This window comes from Homo sapiens, chromosome 6, assembly GCF_000001405.40.
Source record: "Homo sapiens chromosome 6, GRCh38.p14 Primary Assembly".
Taxonomy (NCBI): Eukaryota; Metazoa; Chordata; class Mammalia; order Primates; family Hominidae; genus Homo; species Homo sapiens.
This window is the reverse complement of record NC_000006.12, coordinates 2,214,379-2,234,531: the sequence shown is the minus strand read 5'-3', so window position 1 is coordinate 2,234,531 and position 20,153 is coordinate 2,214,379. Positions and strand designations below refer to the sequence as shown.

Sequence of the window (20,153 nt, the reverse complement as noted above, 5' to 3'; positions counted from 1 at the left end):
GTTCAAGTGATTCTCCTGCTTCAGCCTCCTGAGTAGCTGGGATTACAGGCACCCGCTACCATGCCCAGCTAATTTTTTGTATTTTTAGTAGAGATGGGGTTTCACCACGTTGACCAGGCTGGTCTCGAACTCCCGGCCTCAGGTGATCTGCCTGCCTCGGCCTCCCAGTAGGATCTTGTTTTGATTTTCATGAATTTTGATGTTATCATTGAAATATCTAGAAATCTGCATATTTTATTTAAGAGAGTCTGCTTTTTGTACACAAGGAATGCTTGTTCTTGGTGAAGCCTCAGGTATGATGGATAGGAAGGAATAAGAAAGCTGTTTGAGAGGAGAATAAAAGGACTTAGCTACTGATTGGATTGTTGGATTGGGAAAGTCAGGAGAAGTAAGGGTTTTTGTTTTGTTTGTTGTCTTTATTTTTATGGTTGATACCAATGACATTCAGTTTGTGTAAATCCATGAGGACAAGACTGTATTTTACTGCTGTATCCCTAGTGCAGTGTCTGAAATATGGTGGGCTCTCAATAGATATTTATTGAATGACATCTGGAGTTCATACTTCCTCAGAAATCCTGGAGGAAATACACTGCATATAAGAAGGAATGGGAATGTAGATGTGCAGTGTATCATACTTTAGAGCAGGATCGACAAACTGTATCCCCTGGACCAAGTCCAGCTGCCTCCTGTTTTTGTTTTTGTTTTTCGAGATGGAGTCTCCCTCTGTTGTCCAGGCTGGAGTGCAGTGGCGCGATCACTGCCCACTGCAACTTCGGCGCCCCCCACCGGGATCAAGAGAGTCTCATCCCTCAGCCTCCTGAGTAGCTGGGACTACAGGTGCCTGCCACCATGCTTGGCTAATTTTTGTATTTTTAGTAGAATTGGGGTTTCTCCATGTTGGCCAGGCTGGTCTAGAACTCCTGACCTCAAGTGATCTGCCCACCTCAGCCTCTCAAAGTGCTGGGATTACAGGTGTAAGCCACCACGGCAAGCCCTGTTTTTGTAAATAAAGGTTTGTTAGAGCATAGAACACCTGTTTACTTATTGTTTCTGGCTGCTTCCACATAGAGTTAAATAGCTGCAACAGAGACCATGTGGCTTTGAAAGCCTGAAATGTTTACTCTCTGGCCCTTCACTGAAAAAGTTTTCTAAGGTTTGCTGTAGAGCTCTCTTCCTTAGGGTGGATAGTGGAATTGCTACTGATCATAGATGATATCTCCAAATGAGAGAATGTGGAGACAGAAGGATGAGAGTGAGGAGGAGGAAAATGTTTGCATTTCAGGCTTGGAAGAGAAGGAAGCTAGGGAGGGAGGGGAGAGGAGAGAGAACAAAAGTACTGAGTAATATCGTGGAATCTGAGGGAGGCCAGAGATGTTTTTGTTGTTTTGGTGGTAACATGTAACATACAATTTATCATTACTGACATTTAGTACATTTACGAGGTCGTACCTTCTTTACCACTCTAGTTCCAGAACACTTTTTGATCACTCCGGAAGGAGAGCCCATACCCATTCATCAGTCACTCCCCATCCCCTCCTTTCCCAGCCCCTGGCAGCACAAATTTACATTCTGTCTTGTATGTTTTTCCCTTTGCCTTAGATCTGGGAAAGGTTTTTTTTCGTCATGGTGGGGAAATGGGCTTCTGTGCAGTCAGGGGAGAAGCCGATGGAGGAAAGGAGTAGTGTGGTTATGGAAGAGGCTGAAGGGGAGAAGGTCGCGGGCATCTGGAGGCCTGAGATGTGCATGAGCATCCAGTCCTGCACCGGCGCTGGTGCTGCAGTGGTGCCGTCTCTGTCACTGCAGTGCTGTTCTCTGAGAGCTGTTCCGCAGCGTGATTTTGGGTGCTGTTCCTCATTATGAAGCCTCTCAGTCATCTTCTTCAGTCTGCACTGTACCTTTCATAGATTTCTGATTCAATTAGCTGCAGATTGGTTTTTGTGGCTTCCTACCTGAACGAAGATAGAAAATGATGATATATATGATGGTGGACGGTAAGATGACAAACCAGTTTTGAAGTCCTCTAAGAAACATGAAAGTGGATGTGAGTGGTAGATCACACCAGTGAGGTTGTGATTTTGATTAGAGTGTTGTGAGTAAATTTCATGGGCCATAAGTGCTGACAAACAAAGATTGTTATGGTTTGATGTTTCAAAAGGGGCATCAGGAATTGAGGATAAAGTGTTTGTTGTACCCCCTTTTGGGGTCTAGGAGAATGAATGAGTAAAAATCCTGAATGTCAGTAGCTCATGGAGTGTTAGATTTTACATAGACTGGTAAAAACCTGAGATTGATATATGGTGGCTAGGTTATTTTGAAAGTAAGAATCTTAGGAGTAACAAATTGCTGTCTGCTATCACAGTATTTAAAAAAAAAAACCCGTTTTACACACCAAAATGTAAGAAGAACATGCTCCCAGAATAAAGAACACTCACCAAATTATATACTTTTGACTATGTGAACTACTTTTTCTCATTTCCATTTTTTTCATTTTGCTAAAGAACGGGTTAAAAATGTGTCATGGATTGGCATTAGTCCATACAGTACATTTGGGAACCACCTATTGAATACTATTAAAAAAATTTCATTTGTCCAATTTCATTTGTTCAGATTCTGAAATGAAAAACAATTTCATTTATCTGATTTCATTTGCTCAGAACCGAAATATGAACTTCTTGGGGATAGGGATCATGTCTTAAACCTGTGGTGACCATTTTTTTTCTTGACTCCAAGGTAGGACACACGTTATCTCATATATAAATGATCTAGAGTGGAACTGAATGTTGGAAACCAGGGCTGTCTGGAAGAATTTGGAGTTACTATACTTTATAATACTTCATTCTTCCTGGTACCCATTTGATATTGAGCACCATAAAAGGTGCTTGGTAAGCATTCGTTTGTTGGTTGTTTCAGATTTCATTTTAACCACTTCCTTTGGCATGCTGAGCAAATTCCTTAGGCTTTTTTTTTGGAGACAAGGTCTGGCTCTATTGCCCAGGCTGAAAAGCAGTGGAGCCATCTCAGCTCACTGCAACCTCCGCCTCCTGGGCTCAAGCCATCCTCCCACCTCAGCCCCCTGAGTACCTGCGACTTTGGGTGGGTTCTACCATATCTGGCTACTTTTTGTATTTTTCTTTTTGTAGAGATGGGGTTTTGCCACGTTGCCCAATCTGATCTCAAACTTGTGAGCTCAAGCCATCCGCCCACCTCAGGCCTCCTAAACTGCTGGGATAACAGGTGTGAGCCACTGTTCCTGGCCCTTGGGCACTTTTCATACCTCACAAAGAATATACTAGCAGAACTTAGGAGTCAAGATACCCAGGGAATCCTTACAGCTCTGTTTCTGCAGCTCTCCCTAGTCTCTGAGTGTGCTTGGAAGGAATATTCAAATCATCATTGTGTTGTTTCAGGTTTAACTTGGGAACTTGAAACTGAAATCAAGTTTTGGGGACCTTCTGGGTGGTGACAGATCTTGTTGTTTTGACCAGGCACTCTTTCTTGTCCCCCTGTCCTTATAATGTTGACTTAGGCATCCTGCTAGCTTTGTGAGTTGGTCAACCCTGGGTATTAGGGGAAGGAACGGGGGGGGGGGGTGGGAGGGGGGAAGAGAATACTAAATGCATTAAGTGAATTTCTCAAGGTGGATGGGAAGGTTTTGGGGTTTTTTTTTGAGGAGAAGTAATAATACATAGTAGATTTTTGTTAAAGTTTTGCTTTTCTACATTTAAATATAAACCTTGAAAAGGAGAAATAGGAAGAGTTGACCAAGTATTGAAGTCCCTTTTTTTTTCCTTTTGGCTTTTTTATGGACAACGGTGGTTTTTAATTTTATCCCTTATCAATTTTGCTATTTTGACTAATTTAGTAAGTTCAAATTATTTAAATTTATGTAGTATTTTCTTTCCATTGAGTTGTCTTTTAATATTTACTGTTTGAACATATAGGTTTTAACCTATTTAAGCGTTACCAAAAGTTTATACTATTGCCAGATTGTTACTATGGAAAATTTCATTTTAGTTGCTAAAAACAAGGAAGTATTTTATCTAGGCCAGGGAAATAATTGGGAGCCCAACTAGAAATCTTAGCAGATTCTCTATATAGGACATCGCTGTTAGTGGAGGGCTTAGGGATGGATCCAGGAAACCTGAGATTACTGCTTAGGTCTTTGAAGAATGGAGATCACTTAACCTTTATGGGCTGTGGTTTTTCTTCTCTTTAAATATACGTTTCAGAAAATAGATGTAAATATACGTAGCTAATAAAAGCATCTAGATTTTTAGTTTTCATCAGTCAAAATTTATAGCATGTGTAATGGAAACTTTTAGTAGGACATTGACTGATGTAGATAATGCTTAACGTTTGGATTTGGGAAAGATTTCAGGAATTAATCCTGTGGTAGGACTCTGAGGAGGAAGTCAACTGTGGACTCTGGAGAGGGGTCTTCAGAGGAGTCTCGCAACTGTGGACTCTGGATAGGGGTCTTCAGAGGAGTCTCGCAACTGTGGACTCTGGAGGGAGGTCTTCAGAGGAGTCTCGCAAAGCCTGTAGTGGAATAGGCAGCATTGTTGTTTCCATGGCAGCTTGGAATGTGGAGGTGGAAGCTGCTTCCCTGGGGCTCTAGGCAGGAATAAGCCTTCGAGGTTTACAGGTAGAGTCTCATGCTGGATGACTGGGTTACAATTTAGTATTCTTCAGGTAGAGCAACCAAATAATGCTTTGAAAGATTCATTTATCTTATAGGTCAACAGTTTTTGTTTTCTATTTAGTTGTAGTAAGATTGTGTTAATAGGCAAATATTTTTGTCAGGGATGATCTGGGCAAAGTACCCATTTCTGGTACCTGAATTCTGGCCTTGGAATTAAGATAAATCTGTAAAGGGAGAGGAGAGAAAGATGAACATGAGTTTGATTCCTGACCTCAGTACTCACTGGGTGTCACAGGCAAATTTACTTTTTTTTTGTCTTGCTCTTGCCCAGGCTGGAGTACAGTGGCGTGATCTTTGCTTACCGCAGCCTGGACATGCTGGGCTCAACTAATCCTCCCACCCCAGCCTTCTGAGTAGCTAGGATCACAGGTGTGTGCCACCACACGTGACTCATTTTTGTATTTTTTTTTTTTTTTTTTTTGTAGAAACAGGGTCTCTCTATGTTGCCCAGACTGGTCTTGAACTCCTGGGCTCAAGTGATTCTCCTATCTTGGCCTCCCAAAGTGCTGGGATTACAGGCATGAATCACCATGCACAGCCCATGGGCAAACTTTTGAGTCTTTTTGAACCACCCTTATCTGTACTAGGACGAAAGAAAGTGCCTTGCGTAATGATCTTCTGGAAATGAGAACATTGTTATCCTGGAGGATCACTTTGGTTTTTCTTGTATACCAGACTGGATGCGGGCAGTGTCCTACCTCTGGACAGTGATTGGCTGATGCCCTCTCTCACCCCATCTGCAGTGAAGCCCTGGGGAAAAGTGGAGCCACGGGAGACCCCCACCACTAGAAGTTTGCTTCAGGGACTCTTGCTTTTCCTGTCTTCTTCCCCTTCCCTTTCCCCACTTCATCACATCAATCATAGAGTTTGCCTCCAGGAGCTAGCCTCTGGTGTGGTTGCTGCCCAGAGCCTGGCTGCCTGGCCACTTCCATTGCCCCATTGTCGACTGGAGCCTTATTTTACTCACTTCTCAGATGTCATACCTGGATCCCACTTGTTGAAGCTGTCAACGGGGGGTATTGGGGCTAATTCCAGGGGCAAAAAGGGAGCTCTACAGCACTACACAGTTGTACTGAGAAAGCTATTCCATGCAGCAAATGCATTGTTCAGGGTTACTCTTAACACTGCACATTATGGCGCAGGAACTAAATTTGTGTTCAAATGAATGCCCTTCCTACAGAGAAGTGGACTCCAAGTTTAAATAGCTGATTTCCAAGTTTTCTTTGGAAGGATTTGTTAAAGCACACACTTTGGATCAGTTCTTACCACCAGTTCCAAAGCTCACCAAGCTTAGGTGGAAGGAGGCATGGCTGCCCTGGGGATGGGGAAGGGATGCTTTCTTAATTGTACTCTGCATGGGAGAAATGTTTCTTTCTCTTAAAAGCAGTTTTACCTGTTTAAAAAACGGGCTCAGCTCAAGGCAGATCACTTAAGGTGGGACGGAGAGGGTTTGGAGTGTATATTGAAGAAAAGGAGAGTGCTTATAAAGGTGGGGGAGGAAAAGGAGGACGTGAAGGCCCAGAAGTGCTGAGAAGCACAGAAGGGTGGTGTTGGTGTTGGCTTTTCAGTCTTCATTTTCCTCTGTGAGTGGATCCTTTTAGATCAGTGGTGGGATGTCATAAACGTTTAATCCTGAGTGACACAGAAGGTGACACAGGCTTGCACTTTATATCCAAGAGGAACCAAGCACACTCAGATAGGTGCCTGCCATTCTTGTTTCTCTAGGAAAAGTTCCTAAAGGTGCTAAGAGGGGTACATTTTGTCTAGGTTCAGCACTGGGAGGGAGGTGTAAGAAGCTGCTTGCCTTCTTTTTACCTTGTACTTCACTGCGTAGACCCAGCACAGGCTTGGGCCACGTGCCGAGAAAGGGCCGCACAGCCACAGGTTGGCTCTCATTGAGCATGGTTATGTGTTAACTACCCATATTTCCTGGAAATGCCACAGAACTGAAGTTGGAAGCAGGTAGGAGAGCCTATGTCTGGACAGCAAGGGGAGTCCTGGGCAGCTGCACTTACATGGACCTTGGGGAGCTGGCCCCGTTGTTGCCTTGCTGTCATGGCCACTGAGATTCAGCTGCTATTGTGACCCAGGGGACCTCTGTGTGGCACAGCCTTCTGTTCTGGAATCCCAGGGAAACAGCTCTGGCCTGCCCGCTCCTTCCTATAGTTCCAGCCACAATTGGCACCTCACTCCCTGCATCCAGTGCAATCTCAGGTGTCTCCTGCTGTGCTTGCCTTTTCCACAGTCACTCTCTAGGAACTACTGAAATTCTCACTAGAATCAGCTGTTTCTCTAGATATGGAGCTTGTTCCAAAAGAATACTTTGCTTTTTTGTTGATGTTCTGACCTTTGATTTCAGTCCTCTCCAAAGATAAGAAACTTGCCATTTGTAGTTGAAGCATCCATAAAGCATGGTTCTGATGTTGGTGGTGTAATAGAATTACTTGGGCAGGTTGAATAACTCTTGGCTCTTCTATGCAGTTCAGTGGGCTTAGGGTAGAACTTGGAGCTGGCTGTTTTTAGAAACATTCTGAGGTGTTTGAAAAGTGAGGTGTTGTGGTTGAGAACCATTCATTTATGGGGACCGTAGTAGTGACTTGAAACATTTTATATATATATATGACATATATATGGAAATATATATATTTCATAAACTTTTTTCCTTAACATTTATTCAGAATAGTAAAAATAATGTTCACTATTGAAAAATTGGAAGTATAGGAGGATATAAAGTTTCAGGGGGAAAAAAAACAACACCCGCAATCCCACCACTCAGAAGTAATTACTGCCTGCATTATCTTTTCTTCATTGTTTTGACTAACTTGTTACTGATTGACTTCACTGCTTTTCAGCAAATGTTACTGGCCTTGAGTTGGATATGGAACTTAAATTCCATCTGGAATCATTCCTGGATGATTCTTTCAGAGTCATCAAGTACTGATTGAGTACGAGGGACTCCAGGGATGAATGCATCTGGGGGTCTAGGGTGAGGAAAATCCCAGCCTCAAGAGATCTTGTTAGTTAACCAGCTTAGCACCTCCTATTATGATTGTCATAGACATTTGTGTGTATATTTTAGTTCACATGTTAGGTGTTTTTAATGGTTTCATATTATTTTGAGTGATAGAATTTAGGAGAGTAAATGCTAGTAGAATCAGAGTTCATTAGTTTTTGACATGTTATATGCAAACACTTAAAAAAATTCCTGTGATGTTTGCTGAAGTTTGCATTTCCAGATACTCATATTCCATTTCTGTGTATTCTGATAGGAGGGTTATAATATCTCTGTTGTTGGGGCTATTGCTCTGGAGTATTTATCGATTAACTTTTGTTAATGATATACTCTGTGAAAGCACTTTATTAACTGGATTAAAAAAATTAATTGTAGCACACAGTAATGCGAAAATTTAGTTGGAATGTTGCCCTTATGGACAGTTATCATAGGCAGAATCTAACTCTTAGATGGGAACAGCAATCATGATCTCACAGGTCTCCTACAGCTCTGACAAATTCTTTCAAAATTAGTGAACTGCATTCTGGGTCTCTACTATAGAAGAGTCTCTGACTTCACGGGTTTCATGTTATTTCTACCCAGGAATCAGGATGCCTCACCCAAAGGCAGTTTTGACAAAATTAAAGTATATTGTTGGTGAGTGTCCAGAAGAGAGTGAAAACTGGGATGGCCTGGCTCAGTGTTGGTCTAGCAGAAACTACCTCTAGTGTAATTGTTTCCTTTCTCCCTCCTCTTTGTTTTCTGCCTCTATTTCATTTCTTTCTTTTCACAGTTTTTTCTTTTCTATTCCTCTCTCTTTTTTTCTTTTCTTAGGTTAGGCTTTCAGGGGCTGGAATGGGAGCAGAGTTCACCTGCCAGGAAGTGAGAATGGCAGGAAAGCTGGAATGGCAGTCCTTGGCTCTCCTGTGGTCGAGGTCTGATTACCTTCTAGGTAGTCATTGTGTCCCAGGAGATTTCAGAGAACAAACAGTGGAATCTTATTTAAATAGTTCTGTTAGGAGCATTAATGTTGTTTGTAGGTCATGGTCCAGATGGAAGCTGGCCCTTTTCTGACAAATACCTGGAAACATTTCCTTATTCTACTGTACGTTAGGATTTTGCAATCATTCTTTTCTGATCCCTAGCTTACTGGATAATCACAAAGGCTTTTTACTTCCTTTGTGCTGTAATATTGATCATCTGTGTTGGTTGGTTTACAGCCAACACACTGATCCGGATGCAAGCCGGAAAATCTAAGGGTTGGCAAATGATTCGTCATTTGCATAGAACAGCCTAGGACTCTTCAGAATGAACTTATGGAAGAGAGCTGTGGCATAGGAGCAGGAGAAGGTACAAGTTAGGGAGCAGTTTGGTATTGCACTTCATCTTTAGTTCAGCTTTGTTGCAGGGATCAAGACTGCAAGTTAAAGGGCAAGTTAGGGGGCACCTCTGTCTTTAATGAGATCATAGGATAAAGGCTTATTTATTTGTTTGTTTGTTTATTTATTGAGACAGGGTCTTGCTTGGTTACTCAGGATGGAGTGCGGTGGTGCAGTCTTGGCTTACTGAAGCCTTGACCTCCCCAGCTCAGACAATACTTCTGCCTCAGCCTCCCGAGTAGCTGGGACCACAGTTGTGCACTACCATGCCCAGCTAATTTTTTTTTTTTTTTGTATTTTTTATAGAAACGAGGTTTCACCATGTTGCCCAGGCTGGTCTTGAATTCCTGGGCCCAAGCGATCCACCCACCTCGGCTTCCCAAAGTGCTGAGGTTACAGGCCTGAGCCACCATGCCCGGCCAAGGCTTACTGTTCATCTCAGGTAGCGTCTGACATCGTGTGGACGTACGTGCGTTCAAATCTCCTCTCTGCCAGTTCTCAGTTCTGTGACTTTCAAGTAATTATTCAGCCTCTCTGTGCCTCAGTTTTCTCTTTTGTAAAGTGAGGATAATGGTACTAGCCATAGGTGAGGGTTGAAGGACACAGTGTCTGGCACATAATATTAATAAATATTCATTAATGTTTTACTCTTGGCTGTCCTGAACATTAGTCTGCTTTGACCTAGAATTCTTTTCCTGAAGACACGCTATAATTTTGATGAGAGTAAACAACTAACTCTTATTTGCATGTTCAAATAAACATGTTTTTATGAAGGTACTTGGTGTTCATTAACAAATGCTATACTTATGATTTTTTTTCTCTGAGACATAATACCAAACTTGTACATAAAATATTTCTGATCACTGATCTTCGCTCCTATAACTATAAAATTATATGTAAAATAGCTAAAAACTACTCAGTGCACTCTTTAGAATATATGTATTTCTCCTATGAGAAGCATCATTGAGATCTTTATTTGGGAAGCAATTAGGTTGCAAATTGAAAACAGTTTCCAACATCATCACCAAACTGAAAATGCCAAGTTGTCTGAGTCTAATGTCCAGAAGTCATTGTGGCCCTGTGGTCAGTGTTCTGCATTAGGGATCCCTGCAACAGAGCTGAATTAAAGATGAAGCACAGTAACCCAACACCTGTGTCAATAAGGGTGGATAATTTCTAGGGTTCCACAACGGGCTGTCAGTATCTTTCTCATTATTCCCCCAGCCTTTGTTTCACAGCCCAGTGGCTTCAGTCACTATGTCCATTTTCTTATCTCTTAAGGACTGTTCAACTCATTATATTTGGTTGCTTTCCCCATCCTACCCTAAACTGTTGTTATATAAGATCTTCTAAATTACCTTTCACGGCTAAACCCTGCAACTTCAGTCCTTGTCTTACTTGCTTTGTTGGCGTGTGTTATCACTGTCACTTTTCCTCTTGATTTTCCCTCCTCTGCTGGTTTTCCTTGTACCTCTTTGTCAGTGCATTGTTCTGCCCACCCTTGCAGGTTAGTGTGTCTTAACATACCATTCCTGACTCTCTCCTACTTTGTTCACTTTCTATGTCTACAACTGCAGTCACTCTTCCCTTGTGAATCCCAAAGCCTTGTCTCCAGTCCAGATTTGTTTCCTGAGTTCCAGACCCTGAGTTCCAAATGCCTCAACATTTCCATGTAGGTATTTCATAGACATCTCCTACTCCACATGTCCCTCCCTTCTATCATCTCTGTGTTTTTCCCCACCCTATTTCAAAGCAGGACCACAATCCATTTGGGAGCCAAAGTCAGAAATCTTGGAGTCATCCTATCGTCCTCCTTTCCCCTCACTCCTCATGTCTTCACCAGCAGGTCCTGCTGATTTTACCCCACTAGCATAGCTTTGGTAGCGGTGTCATCTCTTGTCCTTTCCTTGCCCACATCAGTTACCTTGTCCTGCCTGGGCTGTTATAGTAACCTCCTACCTGGTCTTCTGCTTCCAGTCTTTTTTTTTTCCATTCATTTGCTGCCAGTGAGTTTTAGCTGGAGTGACCATCTGATCATGTCAGATGGTCGCTCCTCAGCTTAAACTATTGGTGGCTCTCTCTTGCCCTGGGGGGAGTGTAAACTCTCCAGTGTCCCAGTGCCTTTGTGACTAGCACTTTCCTGCCTTTGCACCACATGCCCCCTGGCTTGTGTGTGTTTTGTAACCCAGCCATTTTGTACGGATAGTTTCTTGAATTCACCATATCCACATTAGTCATGGTTCTCTGGAGAAACAGAACCAGTGGGATGGATGGATATGGATATATATATATGTGTGTATATATATATAGAGAGAGAGAGAGCGCGCTATTGATTGATTGATTGATTGATTGATTGATTTGAAGGAATTGGTTCATGTCATTGTGGGGGCTGGCAAGTCTGAGATTTGCAGGGCTGGCTGGCAAGCTAGAGACACAGGAAAGAGTTGATGTTGCAGCTCCAGTCCAACATCTAGGCCGCTTGGAGGCAGAATTAGTTGTTCCTCCTGGGTAATGTCTTTGAGTGGATGAAGCCCACTCACATTGTAGGGAGTATTACTCAGTGTACTGATTTAAATGTTAATCACATCTAAAAAATAGCCTTCAGAGCAACATCTAGGCAGGTGTTTGACCAAGTCTGGTTGGCATATCCTAGTTAGCACACAAAATTAACTGCCTCACTGTCTTTCTCAATGTTGCTCGTGTTTGTATCTGTCCAGATTTCCCCCACACCTACTGTGGTGCCTACTGACCGCCTGGAAACCTGCCACTCATCCTGTGCTCCACTCTCAGCCTGCCCTGACCTTCTCAAGCAGCACAGCATTTCTTAGTACAGCATTTCCTTTTTTTGTTCCTAATTGGCTGGTAATTGCGTCTATTACAGTATTCCCCCTTTGCTGTGAGTATTCTTAAATTGCCTAACAGAATCAGTATGCCTCAAGGACCAAGCTTCTATTGTTTACATTCACCAGTGCTTAAGCACCTGATGAGTACCCAATAATTGTGTAATGAGGCACCGAATGAATGGAGACATTTGGGCCAAAGGGTCGGAGATAAGCAGTGAGAATGGAAGCAGTTGAGGGAGAAAGCAGAGGTTTTGGAGCCATTTGGAATTGGAGGAATCCCATTCACTGCACCAGGGTGTGGTCTCTAACCCCAGGAGAGCATTTTAGACGCCTAGGGAAAGCAGCTCTGCAGTCAGATTGACAGGATCGGAGTAAACCTCTGAGAAGCTCCAAAACTCAATCCCAGATCATACTTCTTACAGTGAGTGCTGGTCTAATGATTTCCATAGAATTTGCATCGTAATTTGGTGACAGTGTGTAAAAGCTGTCATTATCAGACTTCAGCATACTAGTCGCTTCCAGCTAATCACCTCCATGCAGGGGAGCCTAGACTGAAACATTGTTGCTTTTCATTATTTTGGAGAATAATTTAGGTAGAATTACTGTTTAATTTTTGTATTTCCTATTTAAGAAAACCTGTTTCTTTACGGCCCTTTGACTTTCATTTTCTCTTTTTCTTCCCACTGACCTGGCGGCTTCTTAAAGGGGCAGCACCAAGTTTCCTGTTGCCCCTGTGGGCAGTGGCCACAGATTGTCTTCTTTTTCTTCTTTTATACCCCATGGCACATTCTGAGAGTATTTTCTTTTTTCGTTGTTGTTTGTTTTCTTTTTGCTTGGGACTGCTATAATGTGAATATGATATTCTCATTAATTCATTTACTCATGTTGCAAAATTCACTAAAATCCCTTTGTTAAAAGAACATTTTAAGGCCGGGCATGGTGGCTCACTCCTGTAATCCCAGCACTTTGGGAGGCCGAGGCAGTCGGATCACGAGGTCAGGATATGGAGACCATCCTAGCTAACACGGTGAAACCCCGTCTCTACTAAAAATACAAAAAATTAGCCGGTCGTGGTGGCGGGTGCCTGTAGTCCCAGCTACTCTGGAGGCTGAGGCAGGAGAATGGTGTGAACCCGGGAGGCCGGGAGGCGGAGCTTGCAGTGAGCCGAGATTGCGCCACCGCACTCTAGCCTGGGTGACAGAGCAAGACTCCGTCTCAAAAAAAAAAAGAACATTTTAGATGACACTACTTTAAGTAATGTAATATTGTGTTTAAGGGAGCTTGATTAAAATAATAAAATGCAATTGAAGTCAAAACAGATGGATAAATCATGATATTACAAGTGAGAACTGGAATTCTACGTGAAGCCAGGAATAAAGCTGAGAGGTAATCTTTGAGCCACAATTTTGTGTTTTTTTGTTTATTTGTTTGAGATTGGGTGTTGCTTCTTGCTCTGTTGCCTAGGCTGGAGTACAGTGGCTCCTGTAACCTCAAACTCTTAGATTCAAGCAATCCTCCCACCTCAGTCTCCTGAGGAGTACATTACTTGTGGTAATGTACTACAGGTGTACATTACCATGCCTGGCTAATTAAAAAATTTCTGTATAGACGGGGTCTTGCTGTATTCCCCACGCTGGTTGTGAACTCCTAATCTCAAGTGATCTTCCCACGTTGGCCTCCCCAAATGCTTGGATTCCAGGTGTGAACCACTGTGCCTGAGCTTGTACATCCCTTCTTAGAAGGCCACAGCTTTATTACCATTATCAAACAGGGACATACAAGTACAGGTTGAGTATCCCTTATCTGAAGTGCTTGGGAGCACAAGTGTTTCAGATTTTTTTTTTTTCCGATTTTGAAATATTTTCATATACGTAGAGAAATGTATATACAAATCTTGGGGGTGGGACCCAAGTTTAAACATGAAATTTGTTTATCTTCATATATACCTTAAACACATAGCCCGAAGGTAATTTTATACAACACATTAAGTAATTTTATGTGTGTAGCAAAGTTTGTGTACATTGAACTGTCAGAAAGTGAAGGTGACTCTATCTGAGCCACCCATGTGGACAGTCTGTAGTTGTCTGGCATCCCCATCCTTCTTGAGGCTGAATTTATATGCTACGTATAAGCAATTATTGTCTCACATCTATTCACATTAAAGCACTTAACAGTAAAAAATATGACATGCCATTATTACAGCGAGAAAATAAGTGTCAGGGTAACCAAGCAGCACAGAGCATCACCAGACATCTGTACCAGCTGCTAAACCACAGCAACAGCACACAGCAGCAGGCTTTCCGTCTCCATCTGTGAGGCCTTGTGTTGACTAAAAGGTTACCGTACCTGTATCTTGTGTTTGGTGGGTGAAAAGAAACATCAGAAGTATTGAAGGACCGGGAAATTGAGTCCTCTAGGGATAAGGAGGCGTTCTGCTGGATGGCTTTTAAAGATGTTTCCTCCGGAGTCATCTGCCTCATTAGCCATGATTTTTGTCTTACAAGTCTTTGATTTTATACACTGACAGGATTTCATGTTTTATTGTGAATGCACACTGCCCTAGCCCTTGAATAAGCCCTTCACACATTTTCAACATGTTGTCTCTGGGCACTTTTTCTGCAGTGTTGACATCATCTTCATTGTCACCATTATAGGTTGAATATCCCTTATCTGAAATGCTTGGGACCAGAGGGGTGGAATTTTCCACTTCTGGTGCCATGTTGACACTAAAAAAGTTTTGGATTTGGGGACATTTTGGATTTTCAGATTAGGGATGCTTAACCTGTAGTTGTATAATTTATGACATTTGAAGAAAACGGAAGTGACCCGGCTGCTCAGGAGCAATATTCATGATACTGAAATCAGAGGGAATTTTTTTTTAAAGTTTCTGGTTTAAGTTGGTGCCCAGGAGGTGTGGTCTTTTAACTGGTGTGGTCGGTGCTCTGTTTGTTACTGGTCTGTGACAAGGTAAGTACAGAAAATGAGAGTAAATTTAGAAGCTTTTATAGCAAGTTCCTGAGACATTTACATCTAATCATTTTTTTTTAGTAACTCACCTTCAGTTGTATTTTACAAAAGAACCAGTTCATGATGGATTAGAAATTTAAAATGAGGATGCTGACAATAACTAGTTCTTTACTGCAGACAGTTTGAGAAGCACTGGTTTAGAGGATCCTGTGTAAAGTGATTACGAATATCGTCCATATAGTAAGTTCTATGTTGTCTTCTCACTTAACAGGATGCACTGTTGGCTGATGGCCTAATGACAGCATGCTCTTCAGCCAAACTGGTTCTGTAGGACTCAAGTTTCTACCCTCTCTATCATCTGGCTTCTATTTAGATTTTGCTTTATTTCCAAATTTTTATTTATCTTCTGGGTAGGTAATATATTCAGCTAATTTAAAATATAAAGATGCAAATGGGTATTCAGGTGAGTCGTCCTATGCCTGTCCGCCACCTCCCCATTTCCTCTTCTCAGAGGACCGACCTGTTGCCTGTTTACTTTCTTTTTTTGTTTTTCACACAGGGTCTTGCTCTGTCGCCCAGGCTGGAGTACAGTGGTATGATCGTAGCTCACTTCAGCCTTGACCTCCTGGGCTCAAGCGGTCCTCCCTCCTCAACCTCCCAAGTAGCCAGAACTCAGGCCTGAATCACTGTGCCCAGCCTATTTATTTATTAAGAGATTTTTAAAGAAATTCCTAATGCTTAGAATCTGTGAAAAAGCACAGGTGTTAGGTTAGCTCTTGGAACCTTGTGACCCTGAATAAACTTTAGCCTCTACAAACCTCAGTTTCATAATGTATAGAATGAAGATAATTAACTCTAATTTCAGGGTTGTTGGCACGTAACATAGCTCTCAATAAATGATCTGGTGATTGTAATCTGAAATACTTTAGAATGCACATTAAGATATATAGAAGATTCATAATTACAATTGTGCATATTAAATATATTTAATAATTATTTGGGAAAGATAAAAATTAAGATAATGTTCTGTACTCTCTGAGGTGAATTTTTAAAAATTGCTTATTTTCCATTGCAAGATGTAAAAGTGTGGTATCATAGTATATTTGCAAAAGTGAATCACTACTTTCTGGCAAAGACAGAGTGTCTTAGTCCAAGAAACAATATAAGGTGAAAAATTTTGTAATTTACGGATGATCTGATCTAACTGGTTTGTCCTAATTTTTCACTTCCGGTGGTCAAAGATATCTTCATCCCTTGTTTAAAACTTAGAAGGGAGGCAATTTCTGTGGACTTGAGGTGGAGAAAGATGGGGTTCCTTTTTGCTGTTTACTGCCTTGCTTTTCTTTCACCTGTGCATTTCCAGAGGTGAGTCTGGGTGTTGTCTTGGTATTCAGATGAGTTCATCGTAATCCTCAACTTTCTTCTCTTTCTTTTCCTCTTTTTCTCTGAGGTGTTCGCTCCAACTCTGCATATGTTACAAAAAGGGGAGTAAGTGAGAAAATGGTCAGGCTTGGGGTGGTGCTGGGGAAGCAGTGAGGAAAGGTGGTGAGGAGGTTTGGAAGGCGTTTTGGGGCTTAGGGGTACCCCCACAGGTGATCGTGAATACTCACTTGACAAACCACTTGTCAGCTCATTTGGAGCCCGAGAGCAGTTGTTTTCAGTCACTTTGTCCTTTAGACACTGGCAGAATAATTCCAGAGTCCAAATTAACTTGGGTAAAATACTGCTTGACTTTTTATTTTCTGGATCAAAACTAATCTTTTCTTTACTCCTTTAAAAGAAGGATGTGTAGGGCTGTTTCTTGGTAGGCTTTGGCTCCAGTTAACTCAGTTCATCCAGGGCTTTGGGGGGCACTGGGAGGCTTGGAGGGGAATGGGAGGGGCTTACTTACCTTTATTAAAGTGCCCTGATAGTTCAGTTATTAACATGCAAAGCCACTAATAGCAGCTGAAACATATTGAGTGCTTATATATACCAGGCCTTATGTGTGTTAAGATGTTTGCAAGTTTAATCTTCAGAAGATACCATCACTTTATAAGCTATTTGCAGCATTATTGTAAGCACATTTTGATGTTTACTATTTAAAACAGAGTTGGGAGGTGTTTCTCCTACCTTACCCCAGTAAAAGGCTTAGTTCAAAAGCAAGTTAATGAGATTATATGTGTTTCTCCCTTAAAGTTAAACAACAAACCACAAACATAAACCTTCACTTAATATTGAAAATATTATTACATGTCATATATTTTACTATATAAATATTAAGTTGTATTATTAAAGTATTATAGTATGTTAAAAATATATGGCAGCTCTCTATTACAGGCAAACACGTGTCCTGGTAATAGAACTGGCAGCTCTTGGTGTGGTGCAGAGTGAGGTGAGGGGAAATTAAGCAGGGCAGGCCAGGAAGCAGGGGAGGGTCAGGTGGGAGGGGGTGCAGCCAGGTGTCCCAGTGTGGGCTTCACAGAAACTGCTGTCTGATGATCTCTGTCCCTCTAGTGACCAATGCCAAGCTGCTTACCTGATGCTTACAGTTGAGAGCTGTGTTCTGAGCTGGGTGCAGAGCCAGCTCGAGTCCACGTGCTGAGCGCTCAGGCCAGGTGGGCGGCTGAAGCCAGGGCGGCTGCGGGAGGCTGGCAGGGAGGTCTGATGTGCGGGTCTCAGAATGGTGCAAACCTTGCCAAGTCTCGGGGAAGTGTCCTGGAGTAGGAACCACTGAGCTCCCTTTCCGTGAGGAGCCATGGGAGTTGGCTGCGAAAAGGGGTTGAGGTGCAGGGGCTGCTGCAGAGGCACCTGCCCAGGAGAGGCGGGTGGGAAGCAGCCAACTTAAAGCACTTTGGGGGTGTTTGGAGCACGTAAATGCAGTGTAAAAGGGATAGCACAAAGGGCTATGAAGAATCCTAGTGATTATATTACAGATGTGCTTCCTCCTTAGAAAATTTGTATGTGTGCAAGTTGATAGTTAAGCAGGTTTCAGTGACCCAGGCTGGCATTGAACTCCTGGGCTCAAGTGCTCCTCCTGTCTCAGTCTTCTGAGTACCTGAGACTGCAGGTGCGTGCTGCCACACCAGCTCAGACCTCTTTAACTGAAGTCAGGCTCTTTCCCACAAAGAAGTGTGAGTGCAGTTTACCCATGTGCACACGTGCTCACACACGCTTACACCTGCACACACCTCCATGTAATCTTAGAGGTTCATAGCACTCTGGAAACACATGCCTGTTACTCTGATTAAGGTAGAATCTGTTTCATACTAACTTAAGCCAGTAAAGATCATGTTTTTGTTAAAATGTTCAAAATAACTTATAATGTAGGAATTATGGAATGAGATTGTTAGTCTCTTCAATTGAGTTTAAACACATTATGTACATATTTCTGAACTTTAAATGCTGTGTAACTAGAAATCAAAATATCTTTCATTGTAACTCCTTAAGTAGCATATATTGTCCCCTTTAAAACTATTTAATCTAAAATCTTTTAAGTCTATATGCTGTCCTATTCCCAAAATGATTCAAGGCAGCCTTATTTATTTAAACTTTTTATTAAGGAAGTTTTCAAATATATACTGAAGTAAAAATCATAGTATAGTGAGCCCCCACATACCCATCCTCTAATTGTAATTATTAACTCATAGACAAATTTATTTCATATGTAGCTCTATGTTTCCGTGATCCCCTTCCAAATTTTTTACAGTAAATTCTGGTCACTGTATATGATTTCAGCTGTATTTATTATATTATATATCTTTAATTGGCTCTTTGAAAAAGTAACTACACAACCTTTATTGTATTTACTAAGTTAATAATAGTTTGTTAACACAATTAGATGTCTATCAATGTTCAGATTTCACTAATTGTCTCATAATTATTTTTAATAATTTGTTTGAATCAGGGTCCGAATAAGGTGATACATTAAATTGGTCAATGTCTCTTAGCCTGTCTTTAATTACCTCCTTTCCCCCTTCCTTCCTTTCCTTCCTTTCTCCTATTTTTCTTCCCTCCCCATCTCTTTCTCTCTTCTCCCTCTCTACTGTCTCTTTCTCCCTCCTTCCCCCACTGATATGGTTTGGCTGTATCTCTACCCAAATCTCATCTCGAATTATAGCTCCATTACTCCCACGTGTTGTGGGAAGGACCCGGTGGGAGATCACTGAGTCATGGGGGTGGTTGCCCCCATGCTGTTCTTGTGGTAGTGAGTGAGTCTCATGAGATCTGATGGTTTTATAAAGGGAAACCCTTTTGCTTGGCTCTCATTTTTCCTTTTGCTTTCTGCCATGATTGTGAGACCTCCCCAGCCATGTGGAACTGTGAGTTCATTAAACCTCTTTTTCTTCATAAATTACCCAGTCTGAGTTATGTCTTTATCAGCAGCTTGAAAACGGACTAATAACATCCTCTCTCTGTCTCTTTTTCTCTGTGTCTCTATCTCTGTATGTGTCTCTTTCTCCCTTCCCCATCCTCTCTTATAATCTGTTTGTTGAGGACACTGAGCCATTTGCTGTGTTTTGTTTCTTCCATAGTCTGAATTTGGTTATATTCCCAAAGTGTTCTTTTATCCCTTTATTTCCTGTAAATTGATGTTTAGATTTAAAGACTTAATCAGATTCAGTCTTGATTTTTCTTGATGTGGGGTGGAGACAAAAGTACTTCACAGTTGGTCTTAACGTACTTACATTAAGAAGCATGTGATGTCTTGGTTTTCTTCATGTAATATCAGCAACCATTGAAGATCATTCTCAAGATTATCCATTATTTCATTAGAAGTTGCAAAGTTGTGATAATCTAATTCTGTAGTTTTTTCTTCAGTGATTAGTGGAATACTTTTAAAAAGAGAAGCTCCTGCTGGATATGGTGGCTCTTGCCTGTAATCCCAGCACTTTGGGAGGCTGAGGAGGGAGGATCACTTGAGGCTATGAATTCAAGACTAGCCCAACCAACATAGTGAGACCTTGTCTCTTAAAAGAAAGAAAGAAAATTTATGTAAAAAAAGAAGCTCATAAGTGTAATCATTCCTTGGTATCCATGAAGGATAGATTCCAGGACCCTCGCAGACACCAGCATCCACAGATGCTCAAGTCCCTTAAATAAAATGGCATAATATTTGCATGTAACCTGCACACATTCTGCTATGTATGATAAATCATACTTAGATTACTTATAATATCTAATACAATGAAAATGCTATGTAAATAGTTGTTATACTGTATTGTTTAGGGAATAATGACAATAAAGGTCTGTACATGTTCATTACAGGTGCAAAACCATCCATTTTTTTT

The 20,153-nt window shown here is 41.7% G+C and overlaps 1 protein-coding gene and 1 long non-coding RNA gene across 11 annotated transcripts in view, besides 3 other annotated features; one reads left to right on the top strand and one right to left on the bottom strand.

The window, feature by feature from the left end:
* Nucleotides 1–20,153, top strand: part of GMDS (GDP-mannose 4,6-dehydratase) — a 621,800-nt gene that overhangs the window by 11,074 nt on the left and 590,573 nt on the right. The window lies entirely within an intron of this gene.
* On the bottom strand, nucleotides 221–3,164 carry LOC107986512 (uncharacterized). Its single transcript, XR_007059405.1, has 2 exons — nucleotides 3,082–3,164; nucleotides 221–1,949 (listed from the first exon to the last, which is right to left on the bottom strand). It is a non-coding gene; the product is annotated as an uncharacterized LOC107986512 (long non-coding RNA).
* Nucleotides 7,483–7,777: a silencer, noted in NCBI's record as "tiled region #10202; HepG2 Repressive DNase matched - State 5:Enh, and K562 Repressive non-DNase unmatched - State 19:H4K20". NCBI's record gives its function as "represses a minimal TATA promoter and a strong SV40 promoter by Sharpr-MPRA in HepG2 and K562 cells {active_cell/tissue: HepG2 | K562}" and the evidence as "EXISTENCE:reporter gene assay evidence [ECO:0000049][PMID:27701403]".
* Nucleotides 11,737–12,354: an enhancer, noted in NCBI's record as "NANOG hESC enhancer chr6:2222412-2223029 (GRCh37/hg19 assembly coordinates)". NCBI's record gives its function as "activates a minimal SCP1, AML or CMV promoter by ChIP-STARR-seq in naive and primed H9 embryonic stem cells {active_cell/tissue: H9 hESC(naive and primed)}" and the evidence as "EXISTENCE:reporter gene assay evidence [ECO:0000049][PMID:30033119]".
* Nucleotides 12,521–12,590: an enhancer, noted in NCBI's record as "active region_23871". NCBI's record gives its function as "activates an Ori minimal core promoter by ATAC-STARR-seq in GM12878 lymphoblastoid cells {active_cell/tissue: GM12878}" and the evidence as "EXISTENCE:reporter gene assay evidence [ECO:0000049][PMID:35858748]".